Here is a 23,221-nt window from a genome sequence, read left to right as displayed (position 1 = left end):
TTGCTAATTTTATTGCTGTTCTATATAGCAATATTTGAATATAATGTGAATTAACACTATTACACTAAAAGCAAAGCATTTCTTCTGCTTATCGGTCTTGTCTTATTTTTGCCCTTTCCTCATGAAGAAGAAATGCAAAGATGTATTCTTATATATATGTACACACACATGCATAAATAGATATATTCTTCTATATAAACAATACAGGAGAATGTATTGGTAGCAGTACAATAATTTCCTTCATCTTGCTTTACTAAGGAAATGTTTTAAATTCAAAGTCCTGATAAAGTCAGATACAATACAATGGGTAGAAATGAGTTACATTTTACTGTGAAAATATAGTTTTGTCTTTAATTGAGAGTCCTAAAGTTTCAGGCAAACTGGAAAACAGATGTCATTTTCGAAGAATAACCTTTTGTTAGCTCCAGCTATCTTTCTCATATGACAATTGTACTTTATCCACTATTGCCAGATGAGTTGAATTTATTTTTAAAAGAAGCTAGAAATTCACATATGAAATAAAATCTTCAACTTTTAAAATATGAAAAGAATTTAAAAATTTACGTCCAAAACATATCTATAGGATAAAAGCCATCATGGGCCGTTTGCTTTCTTATTTTCTAGAGTTCTGGCTTTATATCACCAAACAAATACAAATTAAACCAAGAATCATTATTTCTCTGCCTGTTTAGACAAGTACATAAAATAACAAGTACTACAAATCTTAAGTAATGAAAAGTAAACTTTACCTATTAAAAAAAAACATTAGCAATTGAGAAAACAGTCCAGTAAAACTGAAAATAATTTTGTATTACAAAAACTTATTAAAAGCTGGTAAGGTTTGTTCAGACAATTTCTATGAAGTAATGTAATTTCCCTTATCATTATGGTAAACGGTTTTTTTTTTCTGATTTTGACTTCCCTTAAAAATCAGTGGTTATTCATAATCAAAATGGTTGATTGAACATAGGTGATTATTATTCCTAGTACCAGAATCTCATTAAAAAACTGAATAAGTAATTCTAAAAATTACCATGAATTTCACTGTTGAAAAATCACAAAGGCCATATCACCTACATATGTAAGTGTTTCTTGAAATAAAATGCATATGATAATGATTGTAGAGATAGTTAAATTCAGTGGAACAGAAATCTGCTCTTTTGTATAAGCAAAGGAGCCCCTCCCTTCCCCCCGCCAGCCTTAAAAAGGAAGTGGGCCTTCTACCTTCAGGTCATTATTGGATTAGCTCCACGATGAGAAGTAGGGAGACGGTATAATTTTGTGTTGTTTCCATTTCTTGTTTTATTGTTATTTGTCTTATGGAAGTGGTCCTGAAACTCTTAGGATAGATGTTTTAAGGGCTGTGAAACAGCTGTATCTCTGTACCTGTTTTACCTAGCAGCTTGTTTCTGTATTTTTCTCCTTTGAAAAATTCTGTGCGCCCCCATCTAGATACTGAAGAAAATCGCCTTTGGAGACACCCAGAGTAGAACCCGGGACCTAAGCAAAAACCCTGGATACCTTGCCCACAGAAATGGCTATCTCCACTCCAAGAAGGCACTGTCCTCATACAACCTTAGAAACAACCTATACTTATACACCCGTCATTCATTATTAATAGAGCTCCTTTAATCATTGTCAGAGAAGCAAAAAGTTTTACTTAGATTAAGGAAATATATGCAAGCAAACAACATATCTCAGTAGATGCCCCTATTTGTAAAGATTAGAAGATAATTTCAGATATAATTTTTTATTATTTGAGATAAGCCAATAGTACGAAGGAAAAAACAATAACAAACCCTCAATTAGAAAGAAATAATGCTGGGAAAGGAGCATACATTTTCAGTAAATAAAATGAATACCCTCAAAATGACTAATAATATCCCATCCAAAACTAAGATTAATTAGGCTGTTAAAAAAAAAAAAAAAAAAGCAAAGGTCAGACTTCTTTGAAACCAAAATTTGGCTGTCGGAAAAAAAAAGCAAAAGATAAATTAAAATAAAAATTGGACATTGTAAAGAATACTTTTTTGGTGCCCAAAATATCTAACAGTGGTAGGTTTCAAATGTTAGTGTAGGAAGTCATTTGTTTTTCCTCTAGGTCATATGCTTATTTGAGCTCTCTCATTTTTCCTCAACTTTCATTTTAGGTACAGGAAGTATATGTGGCAGGTTTGTTCCATGAATATATTGCACTACAGTATTGAGCATAGTGCTCAATAGGTAGTTTTTCAACCCATGCTCTCCCTTCCTCCCCACTCTAGTAGCTTGCAGTATGTATTAGTTCCATATTTATGTCTGCAGTTGCTCAATGTTTAGCTCCTACTTAAAGTGCAAATGTTCAGACTTTGCTTATCTGTTACTGAGTTTGCTTAGGATTATGGCCTCCAGCGCTATCCATGTTGTTAGAAAGTACATTATTTCATTTTTTTATGTCTGTGTAATATTTCATAGTATATATGTACCTACTACATTTTCTTTATTTAATCCACTGTTGATGTGCACCTAGGTTGATTACATTTTTTTGCTATTTGTGAATAGTGCAGTTTTAAATGAATGAGTGCATGTGTCTATTCCTTTGGGTATATACATAGTAAATGGATTGCTAAATCAAATGGCAGTTCTAAGTTCTTTGAAAAATCTCTAAACTACTTTCCACAGTGATCGAACTAATGCACATTCCCACCAACAGTGTATAGACATTTCTTTTTCTCCACAGACTTGCCAGCATCAAAGACCAGTTCTTCAAATCAACCCAGTCAAAGAAAATAAAAAAAATGAATTCAGAAAGTGAAAACAAAATCTGGAATAAATATGAGAATAAGATACCAAATCCACAATTTATTGCCATTCCTGAGAGATAAGAAGAGAGAATAAACAACTTGAAAAAATATATTTGAGGATGTAGTCCACAAAATATTTCCTAATTTAGGTAGATAAGTTGACACGCAAATCCAAGAAATACAGAGAACTGCAGTGAGATACTATACAAGATGACCATCCCCAAGGCACATAGCCATCAGATTTTAAAAAGTCAATGGAAGAGAAAGAATCGAAAGACAGCTAGAGAGAAGTGTCACCTACAGAGGGAACCTAATCAGGCTGGCAGTAGACCTCTCAGCAGAACCCCTACAAGGAAGAAGAGAATGGGGACCTATTTTCATTGTCCTATAAAAATAAAATACAACCAAGAATTTTATATCCTTCCAAACTAAGTTTCATAAGTGAAGGAGAAACACCGTTCTTCTCAGACAGAAAAATGCTGAGGGAATACAATCCAAACAGACAAGCCTTACAAGAGATCCTAAAAGAAGTTCTAAACATAGAATTGAAAGAACAACATCTGCTACAAAACACAACAACAAAACAAAATCACACATAAGTACATAGGCCACAGGCACTAGAAAGCAATTACACAATCAAGCCAATATAAAACAAGCTAACAACAAAATGACATCATCAAAATGTCACATATCAATACTAACCCTGAATTTAAATGGGTTAAATGCCCCACTTAAAAGACATAGAGTGGCAAGGTGGATAAAAATATAAGATGCAACTATCTTTAATCTTCAAGAAAATTTATATATTAACACCCTCATGCCCAAAATAAAGGTATGCAGTAAGATCTGCCATGTAAATGGAAAACAAAAAGAGCAAGAGTCACTATTCTTAAATAATATGAAACATATTTTAGAAGAATAAAAATTAAAGATGGACAAAAAAAGAAACGTTACATAATGTAAAGGGTAAAATCCAACAAGAACACTTTTATTTAACTAGCCTAAATACCTAAATTTCTATGCACCCAACACTGGAACATCAAGATTCATAAAACAAGTATTCTTGGACTATAAAAAGACTTAGATAATCACAAATATCTGTGACTGGGAGACTTCAACAACCCACTGGCAGTGCCAGGTACATCATTGAGGCAGAAAACTGACAAAGAAATTCTGGACTTAGATTTGACATCTGAGCAAATAGACCTAGTAGACATCTACAGAACACTCCTCTCAACATCCACAGAATGGACATTCTTCTCATCTCCACATAGAATGTATTCTAAGATTGACCACTTTCTTGTTCATAAACAGTCTCAACAAATTCAAAACAATTTGAATCATAGCAAGCACACTCTCAAACCATCGTGCATTAAAAATATAAATGAATTTCAAGAAGATCTCTCAAAAGTACAAAAATTCACGAAAATTAAAACATTTCCCCCTAAATAACTCATGGATGAACCTTGAAATTAGAGCGGAAATCAAAAAATTATTTGCATTAATAGAGACATAACCTACCAGAACCTCTGAGATGCAGCTAAAGCAGTGTTAAGAGGAAAGTTTATAGCCCTAAAATGCCTTGATTGAGTGTTAGAAATATCTCAAATTAGTAATTTAATTTTGTACCTATAGGAACTAGGAAAAAAAAGAAGGAAACAACCTAAGAGCTATCAGAAGAAAACAAATAACTAAAATTAGGGAAGAACTGAATGAAACTGAGATGCAAAAATCCATACAAAAGATCAATAAAACCAAGAGTTGTTTTTTCAAAAAATAAACAAGATTAAAAGACCCCTACATAGACTCACAAAAAAAGAGAAGATCCAAATAAGTACAATCATACCTGATAAACATGACATAACTGATGCCACAGAAATACAAAAGATCCTCAGAATACTATGAATAACTCTAAGCATACCTATTAGAAAACCTAGAGAAAATGGGTAATTTCCAGAAAGAATTGCCGAAGATTTAATCAGAAAGGGATTCAAACACTGAGTAGACCAATATTGAGCTCTGAAATTGAATCAGTAATAAAAATTCTACCAACCAAAAAAAGTCCTGAACCAGATGAATTCACAGCTGAATTCTGCCAGGTGTACAAAGAACTGCTACCAATCCTACTGAAAATATTCCAAAAAACTGTGGAGGAGTGGCTTTTCTGTTATTCTTTCTACGAAGCCAGCATTAGTCTAACACCAAAATCTGGCAGACACAATTAAAAAAAAAGAAAACTTCAGGCCAATATTCCTGAAGAACACAGGCACAATAATTCTTAGCAAAACACTAGCACACTGAATGTAGTATATTAAAGACTAAATATACTACAATCAAGCAGGATTTATTCCTAGGATGCAAGGCTGGTAAAACATATACAAATCAATAAATATTCACCATCTAAACAGAATTAAAAACAAAAACTCTATGATCATCTCAATAGATGCAAAGAAAGCTTTCAATGATATCCAAGATCCATTCATAATAATAAAAAAAACCTTGAGTGACTAGAAACGTAAGATCATATCTCAAAATAATAATATCCATTTATGACAAACCCACAAGCAACATCATACTGAATGGATAAACACTGGAATTATTTTCTTTGAGAACTGGAACAAGACAAGGATGCCTCTTTCACCACTCTTATTCAACATACTTCTGGAAGTGCTAACCAGAGCAATCAGATAAGAGAAAGAAATAGAAGGCACCCAAAAAGGAAAGGAAGAAGTCAAACTATCTTCACCAGTTATATGATTCTATACCTAGAAAATCCTGAAGACCTTGCCAAAAGGCTACTAGAACTGATAAATAATTTAGTGAGGTTTCAGGATACAAAAATCAATGTATAAAAGCCAGTAGCATTTCCATACACCAACAACATCCAAGCTGAGGATCAAATCAAGAACACAATCCTACTTACAATAACCACAAAGACAATGAAATACCTAGAAATACTGATAAACAAGGAAGTGAAAGATCTGTACAAGGTGAACTACAAAACACTGCTGAAAGAAATCAGAGATGGCACCAATAAATGGGAAAACATCCCATGCTCATGGATTTGAAGAATCAGTATCTTTAAAATTGCTGTATTAGTGTGTTTGTATTCTTCTGATAAAGATATACCCAAGACTGGGTAATTTATAAAGAAAAACATGTTTGTTTAATGGACTCACAGTTCCATGTGGCTGAGGTGGCCTCATGGCACAAGGCAAAAGACACTTCTTACATGGTGACAGGATGAAACTAGAGAAGATAAAGTAAGGAACAGATTCTCTCCCATAGATTCTGGAGGGAGCATGTTGATTTTGAACACCTGTCTAATTGAACTATGGAAAATAAATTTCTGTGTTTTGAAACCACCCAAGTTGTGATAATTTGCTGTAAAAACTGCTGAGAACTAATCCATACCTTGTCATGTTCTGTAGATGTTGTATTTGAGCATAGAGAAGTTGGCAACTTTCCATAGCATAAAATGTAGTAAGGGTGGAAGAAGCAGGCATTGCAGAATGATATTGTTATGAAGTGAAAGGAATTATGTTAATGTAGCGATTTCTGTGTTTGCAAATGCAGGCAAATTTTTAACTATTCAATAAAGCATGAATTTCCTAATACACTGGTTTAATATATTTGGTTGGTTTAGTCTGTGCATAAGAGTAGATAGGTCCTGATATAATGCCCTCAAAGCACATGTTGGAAAATAAAATTGGTCATCATAGCAGGCTAAATGGTGCTCTCCTCCAAGAAAAAAAAAGTCTATATTAGAGTCTCAGACAATATCACATACTGTGACAGAAGGGTGACTACTACCTTATATAACAAAAGATGTGATTGAATTATGTCTTTTGACAGTAAGGGCTTTTTCGGGATTCTTGGGGTGGGGTGTAAATGCAATCACAGATATCCTTATGAGAGAGAGGCAAAGGAAGTTTAGAGAAGACACACAGAAGAGAAGGCAATGTGCAGACGGAGGCAGAGATTGGAGTGATATACCTACGAGTTATATTCTGGCAGCTACCAAAAATGGGAAGAGGTAAGGAATGGAGTCTCTTCCAGGTCACCTAAAGGAACGCAATCCTGCCAGATTTTGGACTGTGAACATCTAGACTCTGTGAGAGGATATATTTATATTGATTTAATCCACCTAGTATGGGATAAATTATTATAGCAACCATAGGAAACTGATACATTCATAAACAAGAAAAGACAGCAGTTTAACCAGAAAAGCTGGATATTATTTGGTGTATAAAAGAACAAAGAGGGGCTAGTGCAAATAAATTTCTAATGCAGGCTATTACAAAAATTATGAATACTCATCACTTTGATGAGTAATTTCACCACAAAAGCACATGATATTTTGGAGTGTATTCACACTATGCCAAATTGTATATTTTACATCCTATAGTAGAAACATTTACTCAGCCAAGAAATATAAAATAAAACTCTGTAATATTTATAAAAACTGTTCTAACTCAGAGCAAGCATATTAAACTAAATTACCCATGTGAAAATGCAAAACTACAGTTAAACAGTCCCTAAGGTTAAAGCCTGTGTCCTGAAGAAAGAGAAGACCTTTTTAGTCTAATAAGTAAGGCAATCTAAGAACATCCTGTTTGCTTTATTTTTTTATTATATACATTTTCATTTTCCTAAACAAACTTTATAGTTTTTATTTTAACAAACATGGAATAGCAAGTAAAGAAAATTTAACTTATTCATGGCTTCTGCCATTGAATAATTAGATTTTTAATATCAATATTACCTCAAATAAATATGATAAGCTCAAGTGATAAACCTATGCTTCTACTTGTTTTATATTAGCTCCAAAGGGCAAATAAGCTTATGATTTCAAATATGTTCTATTGTATTTTCTACAAAACAGCATCTTAGAGACATATGGAGTATACTGTAAACTATTTTACATTAAGATTATTGCTACAATTTGGTTAATTTAATAGGTATAAAATGCTGGCCTTTTTTATTAATATGTATGGAATTACAATTCAGTTATAGCCTAAGAAATTTAAGTAGCAAAGTCAATCACAAAATATTTTGCATGGAAAGAAATTAACTACAAGTTATAAATACAAATATTTATAGCTTATAAAGAGTTTACAATGTTTTCTATGGTTTCTGAATATATTATATAGGCAGCATAGTCTTTCATTTACTCAAGAATAATTTAAATTGAAGAGATCCTTATCACAAAGCTGGCGTGATCAAAATAAACCAATAATAATCTCAGTTTCAACAAAAGAAAAAGCGTGCTTTGGATGAAAAGCTCTGGGAATACGGCTGATGATTTATTCTCTCTAGTTTATGTTTCTTACATTAGAACCATTTTTTTGGTTTATGCTCTTCCATCTCTAGCTGGAATATTCTATTACATTATCAGAATATAAGTATATCTTAGTATATGATGTTTACTCATAACTGTAGTAAATTCTAGGTAAAAGTTTCAATAATAGCAGTTTCACCAAAGATTTCAATTCTTATTAAGCTAGACTTTATGTTAGATATCCATTTCTATTCATAAAAAAACTAACACCGATGCAGCAAGACTTTCTTTAAAGCCTTGCTGTATTATATAACACGATGAAATTACTTCATCTGAAGAATATTCTTTATTATGAATAATACATGCTGAAGAAAAAAACATGCTTAACTAAATTGAAGTCTTTCTTTTTCATGATCAGCTGCTATAAAACAAGTCTATAATGATAAAAGAAGTAAACTAACTTGTGCAAACATTTGCAAGTCATATTTTCAAAACCTACCTAGAAAACATTTTGATATCTAAACTTACATGCTTTGGAATCTTTACTTTCACAAACATAGCTGTTAGCAATATAGCAAATTCCCCCACACATAGCATTCTATGAATTTATTATATTCGTGCATGCGTGTAGATACAAATTTAAGATTTAAAAAAACATTTTACTCATTCAAGAACAGAAACAGCACTTTTGATAGCACTATGCCAATTTCTCATAAAACTGTGGTCTTTTGATATATAACACAGATATATTCAACCTGCTGAATCATGTGGCATCTGAAAATACAAAGCATTATTTATTTTGGTTACTAATTCAGAATCACCTTGTGTATGAGCAGATGTTTGCTACTTTTGGCCAAGCAATTAAAAGATATTGGTACAACTGAGTTTTGCATTTGATTGAAAAGATGAATAAAATGGTTGTCAAGACTTCACACTTGAAAATTATTTATTGGTACCGACAATCTTCATAAAACAAAGTTATTCAAACACATCCACCAACATCAAGCACAAACAGATTATTAAAAATTCCTAAATATTTTATATTGCTAAATAATCAGAAGCATGATCTATACAAATGAATGTCCTAGTTGGGGTCAACTACTACAAGCATTACAGTATGAGAGAGATTCCAAGAGCATCGTGTCAGTTGATATTAGTATCAGTTTCCTAATTGAAATATGTCTTCACTAGTCACATGTGCATTTATACATAGCTTGCTTTTTTAAGACATTTAATCAATTTCAACATTTGTTCTTCTTAAAGGAATAGTAAGCAGTAATAATATTAAAAGTCAAGAGAACAAAGAGATTTATGTTGAAAAAATCTTTATATTCTATATATTCTATATAACTACAATACAATGTAAATGTATACATGAATTAGTTTTTTGCAATTAGACAAATTGCAGACTAAAAAAACTAAACTTAGGTTTGAGTAATATTTTCATTTGTCCCAGGACACTTTAATTCAGCACAGAAATTCAGTACATATTCGAATTATTTCAAGATACACAAACACATACACATAAACACACATGTGTGTATGTATTGTATGCATGCATATATAGTATATATAAATTAAATGTTTTGGCCAGGTGCGGTGGCTCGTGCCTGTAATTTGATATAATATTTGATATAATATCAGGTAATGGAAATGTAAAGGAAATTAAAGCATCATAAGAAAGGCTAGAGTAGTGGCAAGATGCGGAGCATTTTTTTGTTTTGATAGAATGGTCAAAGAAGACTCATTTGCTGAAGGGAAGTTTAAGTGGAAATATAACAGCTAAAAGAAGGTTAGCTATGGTATTACACAAGGGAAGTGTCTTCAGGATAAAATCAACAATTGTAAATACCTGAATCTGCACATTTCTGCAGATTTTTTATTTGCATGACATTGACATTGCAGATTTTTACTGCATGACATTTTATTTAGTTATCACATAGTATATAGTTCCCCTTAAAATGTACAATTCAATATTATGCAGTATATTCACAGAGATGTGTAATCACCACATTCACTTTTAGAAAAGTTTTACTACATAAAAAAGAAAAAAAGTCCAGGTCAATTAGCAGTCATTCCCCATTTTACCCCAACTCTCCAACACTAGACAGACACTAATCTAATTTGTTTCTATAGATTTGTCTATACATTTCATAAATTTCATATAAATGAAATTGAACATTATGTGGTCTTTCATACCTTGCCTCTTTCACTTAACATGAAGTTTTCTAGGTTCATTTATGTTATATCATTAACAACACTCACATTTTTTTATGGCTGAATGGTATTTTCTTGTATGGATATACCATATTTTGTTTATTAATTTATCAGTTTCTAGAAATTGGATTGTTGACACTAACTGGCCATTATAAGCAATGCTACTCTGAGCATTGTACACAAGTTTTTTTATGGATATATGTTTTACTTATATTTGCTATATGTATTAGTCCATTTTCACACTGCTGTAAAGAAGTACGTGAAACCAGGTAAGTTATAAAGAAAAGTGGTTTAATTGAGTCACAGTTCCACATGGTTGGAGAGGCCTCAGGAAACCTAACAGCGGAAGGTGAAGGGGAAGGAAGGTATGTCTTACATGGTGGCAGGAGAGAGACAGAGAGCCATGTTGGGAGTGCCACACTTTAAAACCATCAGCTCTCATGAGAACTCACTATCGTGAGAACAGCATAGGAGAAATCCATCCTCATGATCCAATCAATCACCTCCCACCAGGTACCTCACCTTACACATGGGGATTACAATTCGTGATGAGATTTGGGTGGGGACACAGAATGAAATCATATCAGTATATATCTAAGTGAAATTGCTAGATGGTATATCATCTCTGTGTTTAACCTTTGGAGGACCTACCAACACTTTTCCAAAGTGAATAAAGTCTTTTTCATTCTTACCAACAATGTAGGAGAGCTCCATTTTCTCCACATCCACACCAACACTTTTTATTATTTTTTATTATAGCCATCCAAATAAGTATTAAATAGCATTTCATTGTGGCTTTGATTTGCATTTCCCTGCTTAATGATGCTGTGACTGTTTTAATATGTTTATTGGTAACTTGTTTATCCTTTTTGGAAAAAAAGGTCCGTTACAACTTTTGTGCTATGGCATGTCTCATGATTTAAATTTAAAAATTATTTTTTATATTCTGAATTCAAATTCCTTATCAGATATGTAATTTGCAAACATTGTTACCTACTCTTTGGTTGTCTTTCATGTTCTTGATGGTAACTTTTGAAGCACAAGAAAATGTAATGCAGACCACCCTAATTTATTTACTTATTTATCTTTTCTTGCTTGTGCTTTAAATGTCATGTTTAAGAAAACTTTGCCTAGCTCAAGGACACAAAAAGTTTATCTCTAAATTTTCTCCTAAGACTTTTATAGTTTTAACTCTTACTTTTATATCTATGATACATTTTGAGTATCATGAGAAAGAAGTCCAACTTTTTTTAAAAATTATTATTATTATATTTTTTTGAGATAAAGTCTCCCTCTTGTCGCTGGAGTGCAGTGGTGTGATCTCGGCTCACTGCAACCTCCGCCTCCTGGGTTCAAGAGATTCTCCTGCCTCAGCCTCCTGAGTAGCTGGGACTACAGGCACACGCCACCACGCCCAGCTAATTTTTGTATTTTTAGTAGAGACAGGGTTTCACCATGTTGGCCCGGCTGGTCTTGAACCCTTGACCTCAGGCGATCCACTCGCTTACACCTCCCAAATTGCTGGGATGACAGGCGTGAGCCACCGTGTACTGCCAGAGGTCCAACTTTATTATTTTGCATGAGGACATCCTGTTTTCCCAGTAACAGTTGTTAAAAAGATTATCCTTTTACTCATTTAATAGTCTTGGCACTCTTACTCAAAAATCAATTGAATTATGAAATAAGCAAAGATTGTAGAGTAAGGACCTCCAAATATTGCTCTTCCATGAAAGCAATAAAAAAGAACAAAACTATCAAAAGTCAACTTTTTCAGAACTCTGGAAATTATCCAAAATTAACATTCCAGAGAATGTTAATTTTAAAAATTGCTAACTCTCAGTAATGATAGAAAACTTTGTGATGTTTTAACTCACCCGAGGCCTATCCTTTGCTCTCTTGCTCAGCAGTATCCATGAAAATAACAGTGTACATTCTTTGTAATATAATGCATATAGTAAACAAAATACTTCATTCATAAAGAATTTTAATTTATACATTTTGACCCATCTGGTGGTTCCTGGAAGATTGGCTTAAAGGGCCTGTCTTTATTTTGTCTAACTGGAAACTAGCTCTAGTGGCAAAACTGTTTCCAGGGCCAGATGAACATTTGTCAAAAATACTTACCAGCTGATTACATTGCTGAAGCCTTAGGCAAAGCTTGGGAGAAAAGACTGTGAAATAAGATGTCTGTAAAGGTTTTAAAATGCTCAATTATATTCCTAGGAATCTATAAGGCCACATGTATGGTCAGGGCTGTGTGCATGTCAAGAAATATAAGAGGAGGCCCTAAGCTCTCAGGTCTAGGTGACCTTGAGACTTCACAGAAGCCAAAAGTGAAAGCTAGGACATAGTCAGCTATTCCCTGCCACAGAGAGGATATAAGCAAAGACTGAAAGAATTTTTGGTTCTAGACACTTAAGAAATTCTCTGTCCAAACATTAGCTAACTACTAAACTGAGGGAACAGAGGCTTGAAGGGTCATACATGGTAAAAAAAAAAAAAAAAAAAAAAAAAATATATATATATATATATTAAATTCACTGAGGAAGTCACTAAACAAATGAACAATAAAGCTACAAAATGCAGCTACAGTGAGAAAATCATGGGGTGGGGAGAGAATCATATTTACGGTTACCACAGTATATTATTTAAAAGGTTTGATTCTTAACAAAACATTTACAAGACATGCAAAGAAATAATAAAATATGGCCCAGACACAGAAAAAAAAAAGACAAATTAATAGAGTCAGTGAAACAAAATCGTGGTTGATTGAGATTATTCAGGTTAAGGAACAGAAAGAAAAGGATAAAGAAAAATAAATAGAACCTCAGAGACCTGTGGAACATCTTCAATCATGCTAATATATGCTTAATGGGAAGGGAAGGAAAGGGAAGGAAGAAACATTGAAGAAACGATGGTTTAAACTGCTCAAATATGATATAAAATTAATTAATACAAGTCTTATAGACACCAAGTAGAATAAACTCAGAGAGATCTACGCTGAGACACACATCACAATCACACAATCAGAAGTCAAAGACACAGATCTTGAAAACAACACAACAGAAGTGACTCAACCTGCTGAAAGAATCTCAGTAAGATTAGAAACTGGCGGGGCGCGGTGGCTCATGCCTGTAATCCCAGCACTTTGGGAGGCCAAGGCGGGCGGATTGCCTGAGCTCAGGAGTTCCAGACCAGCCTGGGCAACACGGTGAAACCCCGTCTCTACTAAATACAAAAAAATTAGCTGGGCGTGGTGGCACGCGCCTGTAATCCCAGCTACTCAGGAGGCTGAGGCAGGAGAATTGCTTGAACCCAGGAGGCAGAGTTTGCAGTGAGCTGAGATGGCACCACTGCACTCTGTCACCAGCCTGGGTGACAGAGTGAGACTCCGTCTCCAGCCTGGGTGACAGAGTGAGACTCCGTCTCAAAAATAAAATAAAATAAAAAAGGTTAGAAGCTGATTTCTCATCAGAAACCATGAAGACCAGAGAGCAGTGGTGTGGTATATTTAAAGTGCTGGATCAAAAACAAAATAAACAAAACAAACAAAAATCTTGTCAAATAAAAATTCTGTATCTGGTAAAACTATCTTCAAAAATGAAAGAGAAATGAGGATATTCTCAGATAAACAAAAATAGAGAAAGACCACTGGTGGCAGAACTTCCTACCAAGTGGAAACGAAGGTCCTTCAGGCTGAAATGAAGAACAATAGACACTAACTCAACTCCATATGAAGAAATAAAAAACAGCAAGTAAAGAAACTGCATGGGTAAAAATGAGGGACAGTTTAAGTGTATTTTTTGTTTTTACTTTCTTTTTGTCTCCTTTCTGATTTTAAGGACAAATGCAAATAATTATAAATGTGGTTTAATGGAAGCACAATGTATAAAGATGTAATTTGTGATAACAGCTTAAATGGGGGACATAGAGAAAGCTAAATAGATAAGCAAAATATAATGTCTCCAAACAATGAAATATCATTTAGACTTTAAACTATGAAATATCACTGAGATAAATAACATTTATCATTCATATAAAATGTAGTACTGTTATTGCTACAACATAGTAAAATATAGTAAACATGCTAAGCAAAAGACGCCAGCCATATTAGGTCATATATTGCATAATTCCAATTATACAAAATAATCATTTTAAATTTATTGAGATTTTTGTATGGCCTAGCATATGTTCTATCCTGAAGAATATTCCATGTATACCTGATATAATGTGTATTCTGCTCCTGTTGAGTGGAATGTTTTAGAGAAGTCTATTAGGTCCAGTTAGTTAATAACATTCAAGTCTTATTTATCCTTGTTGGTCTTCTGAAACTCCAGTATTTCATTTAGTTAAATAAATTATTTTTAATATTTTATTGATATTCTCCACATGAAAAATAAAAGACATATTTGATGAGGCATTGTTATCCTATCTCTCTTTACTTCTTCAAGAATAGTATCCTCAGTTATGGAAAAATATTTTTAGTAGTTGCTTTAAAATGTTCTTTAAGTCCATCATCTGCATCCTCTCCTGGACAGTTTTTGTTATTTCACCGCCCACCTACCCAGATATGTGGCATATTTTATTATTTTTTACATGTATTATAATTATTTATTAAAAGCTGGACATTTTATATAATATACACAACAACTAGAAGCTGAATCCCCCGTCTTTCTGGGGCTTCCTGTTGTTTGCTTGTTTATTTGTTCAGTGATTTGGCTCTATTGAAAATAGTAAAATCTATTTATCAATCATTGCGAAGCCTTTGATGTTTACTCTTCAGAGGGCACAGCCTTGGACATGAACACAGTCACCATGGAATGACAACAAAGACAATGGTTTCAGCAGGGTTTTCTGTGAATATCTCTTTTCCTAATCTCTCTCTCTCTCTCTCTCAAGCTATCTGCCACTGCCTTCTAAAAAAGCTGTTAGCCTCTACTAATTGCCAAATAATTGCTCTATTGTTTCTGACAATGATCTGAAACCTCCACTGTCTGATCCAATTAAATTTAGATTCCTTCTCTGTGGTAGGTTTTTTTTTTTTAAGCATTTTATTTTATTTTTTATTTATTTATTTTTTATTATACTTTAAGTTTTAGGGTACATGTGCACAATGTGCAGGTTTGTTACATACGTGATAGGTTTTTAAGCAAGTCTTAAAGATTGATCTGGTCTCAAGAGTTTTCTTCATAGTTTTTTCTTCCCTGGTCCTCTTAGATAAACTGTCTGGCCATGGCTTAGCGTTTTGCTCTCATGGGGCACACATATTCCTTTTAATTGCTTACCACCAAAATTCCATTGTTTTTGAGAACTCCTGAAGCTTGAATTTTCTATATTCTGTGCAAAATAAACTATATTCTTTAGATGAGAGCTTCAGATCGCTTTATTAATATGTCCTACCTGTCCCTTTGGACAAAATCTTCAAGCCACTTTTCAGGAGCTGGGAGAGAACTCAGTAGCACACTGCTCCAAAAATTACATCTACCTTTATCATCAGGGTTCTGGGTAAGGGCAGTAGCCTCTTTTTTTATTTGCTTACATCTCCTGGCATGGCACCTTCTCCCTACCAGAATTCTGGGGAGAGAATGATCAGGGCCCCATTATTCTCAGTTATTTCAAGAGTAAAGCTTCAGTCCTCTTCCTAAGTGAAGAAAGGAAACCACTGACCTCTTGGTCACTCACCTGGAACTTAGCCTGTTCAGCACAGAGTTGAGGAAATTAGGAATGCTAGTGGCCTTTCTTACATGAGGAGATACTGTAGCAATTTTACTGAGAGATGGTGGGGAGGGGAAGCTCTTTCTTTTGGTCATACTTACTCAGAGTGGAGTTATCATGCTAAGATGTAAGTAGGGGTAGAGAGTGAGTCAGTTATAGCTCAAGTGCCAAAGCCTCTTACAGTCTTTAAATTGATTTTACAGACTTTCTTGATTAAATGTTTTCTCACCTGTTGAATGTATTTAGAACAATGTCCAGAGATTTTAACCTTATGATTTTAACTAGTTATTGTTTCTCTAGATAACAGCTCTGCAGAGATCATTAAGACATCTTTATAGAATTACCACAGTTAGTTGTCTTTGTTTTAATGACTCGCTTTGATAATAATGTAGGTAACATGATGGGAAAGGCAATAATAGAAGCAAAACTACCAGATTTGGTGATACTGCATTAGTTCTAGGTAATGCAGAGATGTATAGGTAAATATCTGCATGCAGCTCCTAAGAACATATGAAAAACAGAGCAAAATCAGTCTAAGTTGCATATTAATAATTGAAAAATAATCCTTCTCTGTTATGGATGTTAAAAAGATGAGAAGTAGTTTCATCTGACATTAAATAATGGTTATTAATAATAATACCATTATAGTACAACATTGCTTTAGCATTCCCATCTATTATTTGTTTAACAAAACTGGTCAAATACAACTCATCTCATAATTAATACCTATACTTTGGCAACACAATCTAAAATAAAATGCACACATTAACATTGGCTAATAACACTTTCAATGTATGAATACCATACAAGAAAAAGATGTGGATTTGAGGGCAAGGTGGCAGACTAGTTGCAGCCAGGTAGAACTGCTACCACTGAGGGACTGAGACATGTTGGGGTGGCCAGACACAACACCAGGCCTTGGGGGTTACGAAGTCTGGCAGAGTCAAAGGAATGAGTTAAGAGTGCATAAAGTGGGACCAGGGGGCTAACACTAGTATGGAGGCCGTGAAGGCCCTGAGCTCTGGAAGCCCACACTATTTATTGGTGATCAAACAAAGAAGCAGGTAGTGAGGATGTGGGGATTGAAAGGCAGTGGTGCATCAACCTTATGATCTATAGCTGTGATGGTTTAGCATTTCCTTTGAAGCATATGGAACATGTTCTGCTACTTGAAATAATGGGGAACATATTCTTCTAGTTTAAGATACAATTGATCTATGAGCCTGGGAGTGCTAGAAGCAAGAAGCCAGCAAGTCTGGACACATTCCGGAGGCCACGAGGGGTTTTATGCCCTGTGCCCTGGATTCCATCCAAGCCATGAGGGGTTTTATGCCCTGGGCTTAGATTACGGTGAGGCAGGGCAAACTTCCACCCTTTCGCACAGAGCTTGGTGTTCCAAAGGCCATGAAGGGTTTTAGACCCTGGACCCCGGACATGTTCCAAGACTCTTTTACATTATGTCAGACATGCAAGCCCTGCCTCAGCTTCTCCCAAAAAGACAACTGGCACATTCCTAACCAATCTTCAGAGGACAGGTGTTAAGAGTGGACAAAGGGAAGGCACAGAAGCTAAGCTGAAGAGGGAGAAAGTTAGAAACTCTACATAAAGTTACTGTGCACCAGGACTCATTACTGGCCCCCAACAATTCTGGGGAAACAAGTGAGTTGAACTGTCTGGGAGCAACCCATTCCTGCCACAGATCTCTCAACTCCCCTTGACAACCACAGATAATTGAGGTGGTGGAGAGCACTGCTTACAGAAGTGGTAGGGGCAACATGCCAGCTGAAGCAAAGTCCAGAAGGTTTGGTATGGGAATATCTATAGCAGAGCATGGTCATGGAAGCCCATCTCCCTAGGCTCAGCTTGTACCCATAAGAGACTTTAGCCTGAGGTGAAGTGTGGGACCTAAACTCTACAGGGCGGTCTTGCTTATTAGATGGTGCTGGTATGACCTGAGCACCCTTTGGCCTACTGGCCTCTCCAGGGGCCATAACCTGATCAGATCTGCTTGCAGGGCAACCTTGATTGCACTGGGGGCCCACATCATAGATCCTGTGCTGGTGGACCATGCCTAATCAGAGAAGAACTCCAGTGGGGCAGCTCCTACAGCCATGCACCAGCCTGCCCACTTCCTACCCACACTGCAGCTTGCTCCCAGCCAACCACAACCCTCCACATCACATTGCTGGTGCATGTGTGCATGGGTGGTTTTAGTCTTACTTGCCCTGCCAGTGTGTGTGTGGTGTGTATGTATGTGTGTGTGTGTGTGTGTGTGTGCATCCTACTCTCTCACTGCTGTGGCAGGAGTGCACTTTGTGCCTCCTTAACCTGCTGGACTGCAATTGCAGTCAGAGCCTTCGCAAGCACAAAGCCAGCCAACTTCACCCCTGCCAGCACAAGTCCCTCGGGGCAATACTGCTGCTGGACTGAAACTAGGAACAGAGAACAGCAGACCCTGCCTTGCCCAGAGTTCCCACTTCTGCCTGTAGCACATAAAGAATGCACACAGATCTGTGCCCACCAGTACCCTACCCCTTTGTTGACACCACAAACAGCAAGAGTGTGCACACAGTTGCCAGCAGGATTCCCTATCCCCACAAAATGTACTGCCTCTGCTACTGGGGTAAATGTCCGCAAAGAGGCGGGCCCTCCCGCACCTGCTAGCACCCAGATGCAGCTGACGAGTGTGCACCCTAACATGCTGCCCTTGCCACTGATGCTGGCACATGCAATTGAGTACAAATTCCACTGCTACCATATTGCGAAACACTTTAGCTGACACAACCCATCAAAGTGTAGTGACCAGCAGTTGGAGAGCACCTTGCCCCCATCTCAGTGCAGTGGATTCCTAACTTTGAGAAGCCAGAGTACAGAGACTGTCCTGATATAAGTCCCCAAGAGTTAGAGCACAAAGTCCAGGAGTTGGGAGCTGAGCACTGCCCCTCTAAAATCTTCAAGAAGTAAAGCCAGTTGGCTGAATTCACTTTATATCACAATCAAACCCTCCATCTCATAAAATAGGATAAAAGAACAATTTTAAAAAACCCAACCAAAGGTCAGCAAATACAAAGATTGAAGAAAGGTGAGCCCACAAAATGAAGCAGAACCCGTGCAAGAACTCTGACAACTCAAAAAGTCAGATTGCCTGTTTTACTCCAAACAACCACAACACCTCTCCAGCAAGGGTTCTGAACCAGGCTGAGATCATTGAGATTACAGAAATAGAATTCAGAATATGCATAGGAATGAAGATCATTGAGAAGCAAGAATACGTTGAAACTTAAATCAAGGAAGCAAAGAACCATAATAAAATGAAACAGGAACTGACAGAAAAATAGCCAGTATACAAAAGAATGTAACTGACCTGATGGAGCTAAAAAAGACACTAAAATAATTTCACAATGTAATCACAAGTATTAATAAGAGAACAGACCAAGTGGAGGAAAGAATCTAAGAGTTTGAGGAGTGGCTTTCTTAAAGAAGACTGATAAGAATAGAGAAAAAAACAATGAAAAGAAATGAACAAAACCTCTGGGAAATGTGAAATTACGTAATGAGACCAAATCTATGACTCATTGGTATTTCTGAAAGAGATGGGGAGAGGGAAAGCAACTTGGAAAACACATTTTGATATCATTCATGAGAACTTCCTCAACCTAGCTAGAGAGGCCAAATTTCATATTCAGGAAATAGGGACAGCCTCAGTAACATAATTCACAAGAAGTTCATTCCACAGACACGTAATTATCAGATTCTCCAAGGTAGAAATACAAGAAAAAAAGTTAAAGGTAGTAACAGAGAAAGGTCTGCTTACCTACAAAGGTAACCTCATCAGACTAACAGCAGACCTCTTAGCAGAAACTCTACAAGCCAGAAGAGATTCAGGGCTACTATTCAACATTCTTAAAGAAAAGAAATTCCAACCCAGAATTTCATATCAGGCCAAACTAAGCTTCATAAGTGAAGGAGAAATAAGATTCTTTTCAGACAAGCAAATGCTGAGGAAATTGGGTTACCAGTAGACCTGCCTTAAAAGACCTCCTCAAGGAAACACTAATATGGAAAGAAAAGACCATTACCAGTCACTACGAAAACACAATGAAGTACACAGATCAGTAAAGCAACCAGACAAACAAGTTTTCATAATAACCAGCTAATATCATGATGACAGGATCAAATGGACACATATCAACACTAACCTTGAATGTAATTGGGCTAAATGCCCAATTCAGAGGCACAGAGTGGCAAGCCTGATAAAGACTCAAGATCCAGTGGCATGTTGTTTTCAAGAGACTCATCTCACGTGCAATTTCACGCATGGGCTCAAAATAAAGGAATGAAGAAAAATCTACCAAGCAAATGGAAAAAAAGAGCAGGGCTTGCAATTCTAATTTCAGACAAAACAGACTTTAAACCAACAAAGATAAAAAAAGTCAAAGAAAGGCATTCCATAAAGATAAAGCATTCAATTCAGTAAGAGGACCTAACTATCCAAACTATTTATGCACCCAACACAGGAACACCCAGATTTATAAAGCAAATCCTTAATGACCTTCAATGAGCCTCAGATTCTCACACAATAATAGTGGGAGACTTTGACACACTACTGACATTATTAGATTATCAAGCCAGAAAACTAAAAAAAAAAAAAAAATTCAGGATCTGAATTCAGCACTGGATCAAAAGGGCTTAATAGACATCACAAAACTCTCTACCAAAAAGGAATAGAATATATATTTTTTTCACTTCTACATGACATATACTGTAAATTCAATCACATAATCAGACACAAAACACTCCTCACCAAATGCAAAAAAATCCTGAAATCATAACGACCATACTCTTGGACCACAGTGCAATCAAATTAGAAATCAAAACTAAGAAATTTGCTCAAAATCATACAGTTACATGACAACTGAATCACCCGCTCCTGCATAACTTTGGGGTAAATGTAGAAATTAAGGCAGAAATGAAAAATCTTTTTAAAACTAATGAGAACAAAGATACGACATACAAGAATCTCTGGAACACAGCTAGGGCAGTGTTAAGAGACAAATTTATAGAAGTAAATACCCATATCATAAAGCTAAAATTTAAATTTAAAAACCTAACATCGCAACTAATATAACTAGAGAACCAAGAAGATACCAACCCCAAAGCAAGGACAAGACAAAAAGTAACTCAAATGAGAGCTGAATTGAAAGAGACTGAGACTTGAAAACACATTCAAAAGATTAACAAATCCAAGAATTGGATTTTTGAAAAAAATAAAATAAAATAATTAGACTGCTACCTAGACTAATAAAAAAGAAAAGAGAGAAGATCCAAAATAAACACAATTAGAAGTGACTACGGGGATAACACCACTGACCCCACAGAAATACAAGTAAACGTCAGAGAATTTTATGAACACATCTATGCACATAAACTAGATAATCTAGAAGGAATGGATGCATTTCTGAAAGCATACATCTTCCCAAGACCGAGCCAGAAAAAAATATAAATCCCTTAACAGACAAATAATGAGGTCCAAACCTGAATCAGTGATAAATAGACTACCAACCAATGAAAACCCAGGACCAGACAGATTCAAAGCCAAATTTTACCATATGTACAAAGAATAGCTCGTAGGAGGAGAGACTCCTCTCTAAGTCATTCTATGAGCCAACATCATCCTGATACCAAAACTTGGCAGAAACACAACAGAAAAGAAAACTTCAGGCCAAGATCCCTGATGAACATTGATAGAAATATCCTCAACAAAATATGTGCAAACCAACTACAGCAGCATATCAAAAAGCTTTTCCACCATGACCAAACAGGCTTTATTCCTGGGATACAAGGTTGGTTCAACATATGCAAATCAATAAATGTGATTCATCACATAAATAGAACTAAAGACAAAAACCACATTATTATCTCACTAGATGCAGAAAAGGCATTTGATAAAATTCAACACCTCCTTATGTTAAACACAAAACTCTCAAAATACTAGGTATTGAAGGAATTTACCTAAAAATAACGATCCATATATGACAGATCCATAGCTATCATACTGAATGGACAAAATCTAGAAGTATCCCCCTTGAAAACCGGCACAAGACGAGAATGCCCTCTCTTTCCATTCCTATTCAACATAGTATTGGAAGTCCTGGGCAGAGAAATTAGGCCAGAAAAAGAAATAAAGGACATTCAAATTAGAAAAAAGGAATTCAAAATATTTTTCTTTGCAGACGACATGATTCTACATCAAGAAACCTTATAATCTTGGCTCCAAAGCTCCTTAAGTTGATGAACAAATTCAGTAAAGTCTCAGGATACAAAATCAATGTATAAAAGTCACTAGCATACTTACTCACCAACAGCAGGCAAGCTGAGAGCCAAATGAGGAACACAGTGCCATTCACAGTTGCTGCAGAAAGAACAAAATACCTAGGAATACAGTTAACCAGAATGGTAAAAGATCTCTACAAGGAGAACTACAAAACACTGCTCAAAGAAATCAGATACGACACAAATAGAAAAAATATTCCATGCTCATGGATAGGCAGAATCAATATTTTTAAAATGACCATACTGCCCAAAGCAATTTACAGATTCAATGCTACTCGTATCAAATTACCAATGACATTTTCATAGAACTAGAGAACAATATTTTCATACTCATATGGAACCAAAAGAGAACCTGAATAGCCAAGGCAATCCTAAGCAAGAAGAACAAATCAGGAGGCATGACACAACCCAACTTGAAATCATACTACAGTGCTACAGTAACCAAAACAGCCTGCAAATGATACAAAAACAGACATATAGACCAATGGAACAGAACAGAGAGGCCAGAGATAAAGCCACACACCTACAACTATCTGATTTTCTACAAAGTAAAGAAAAATAAGCAAAGGCGAAAGGATGTTCTATTCAATGAATGATGCTGGCATAACTGGCTAGCCATATACAGGAAACTGAAACTGAACTTCTTTACATCTTATACAAAAGTTAACTCACAATGGTTTAAAGACTTAAATGTAAAACTGAAAACTATAAAAATTCAGAAAGACAACCAAGGCAATACTATTCCGGACATAGGAATGTGCAAAGATTTTATGATGAAGACACAAAAACCAATTGCAAAAAAAGTAAAAACTGACAAATGGAATGTAATTAGACTAAAGAGTTTCTGCACAGCAAAGGAAATTATCAACAGAGTAAACAGACAACCTAGAGA

This window comes from Homo sapiens, chromosome 5 (assembly GCF_000001405.40).
Source record: "Homo sapiens chromosome 5, GRCh38.p14 Primary Assembly".
NCBI classification, from domain to species: Eukaryota; Metazoa; Chordata; class Mammalia; order Primates; family Hominidae; genus Homo; species Homo sapiens.
Note: the sequence above shows the minus strand (reverse complement) of the source record.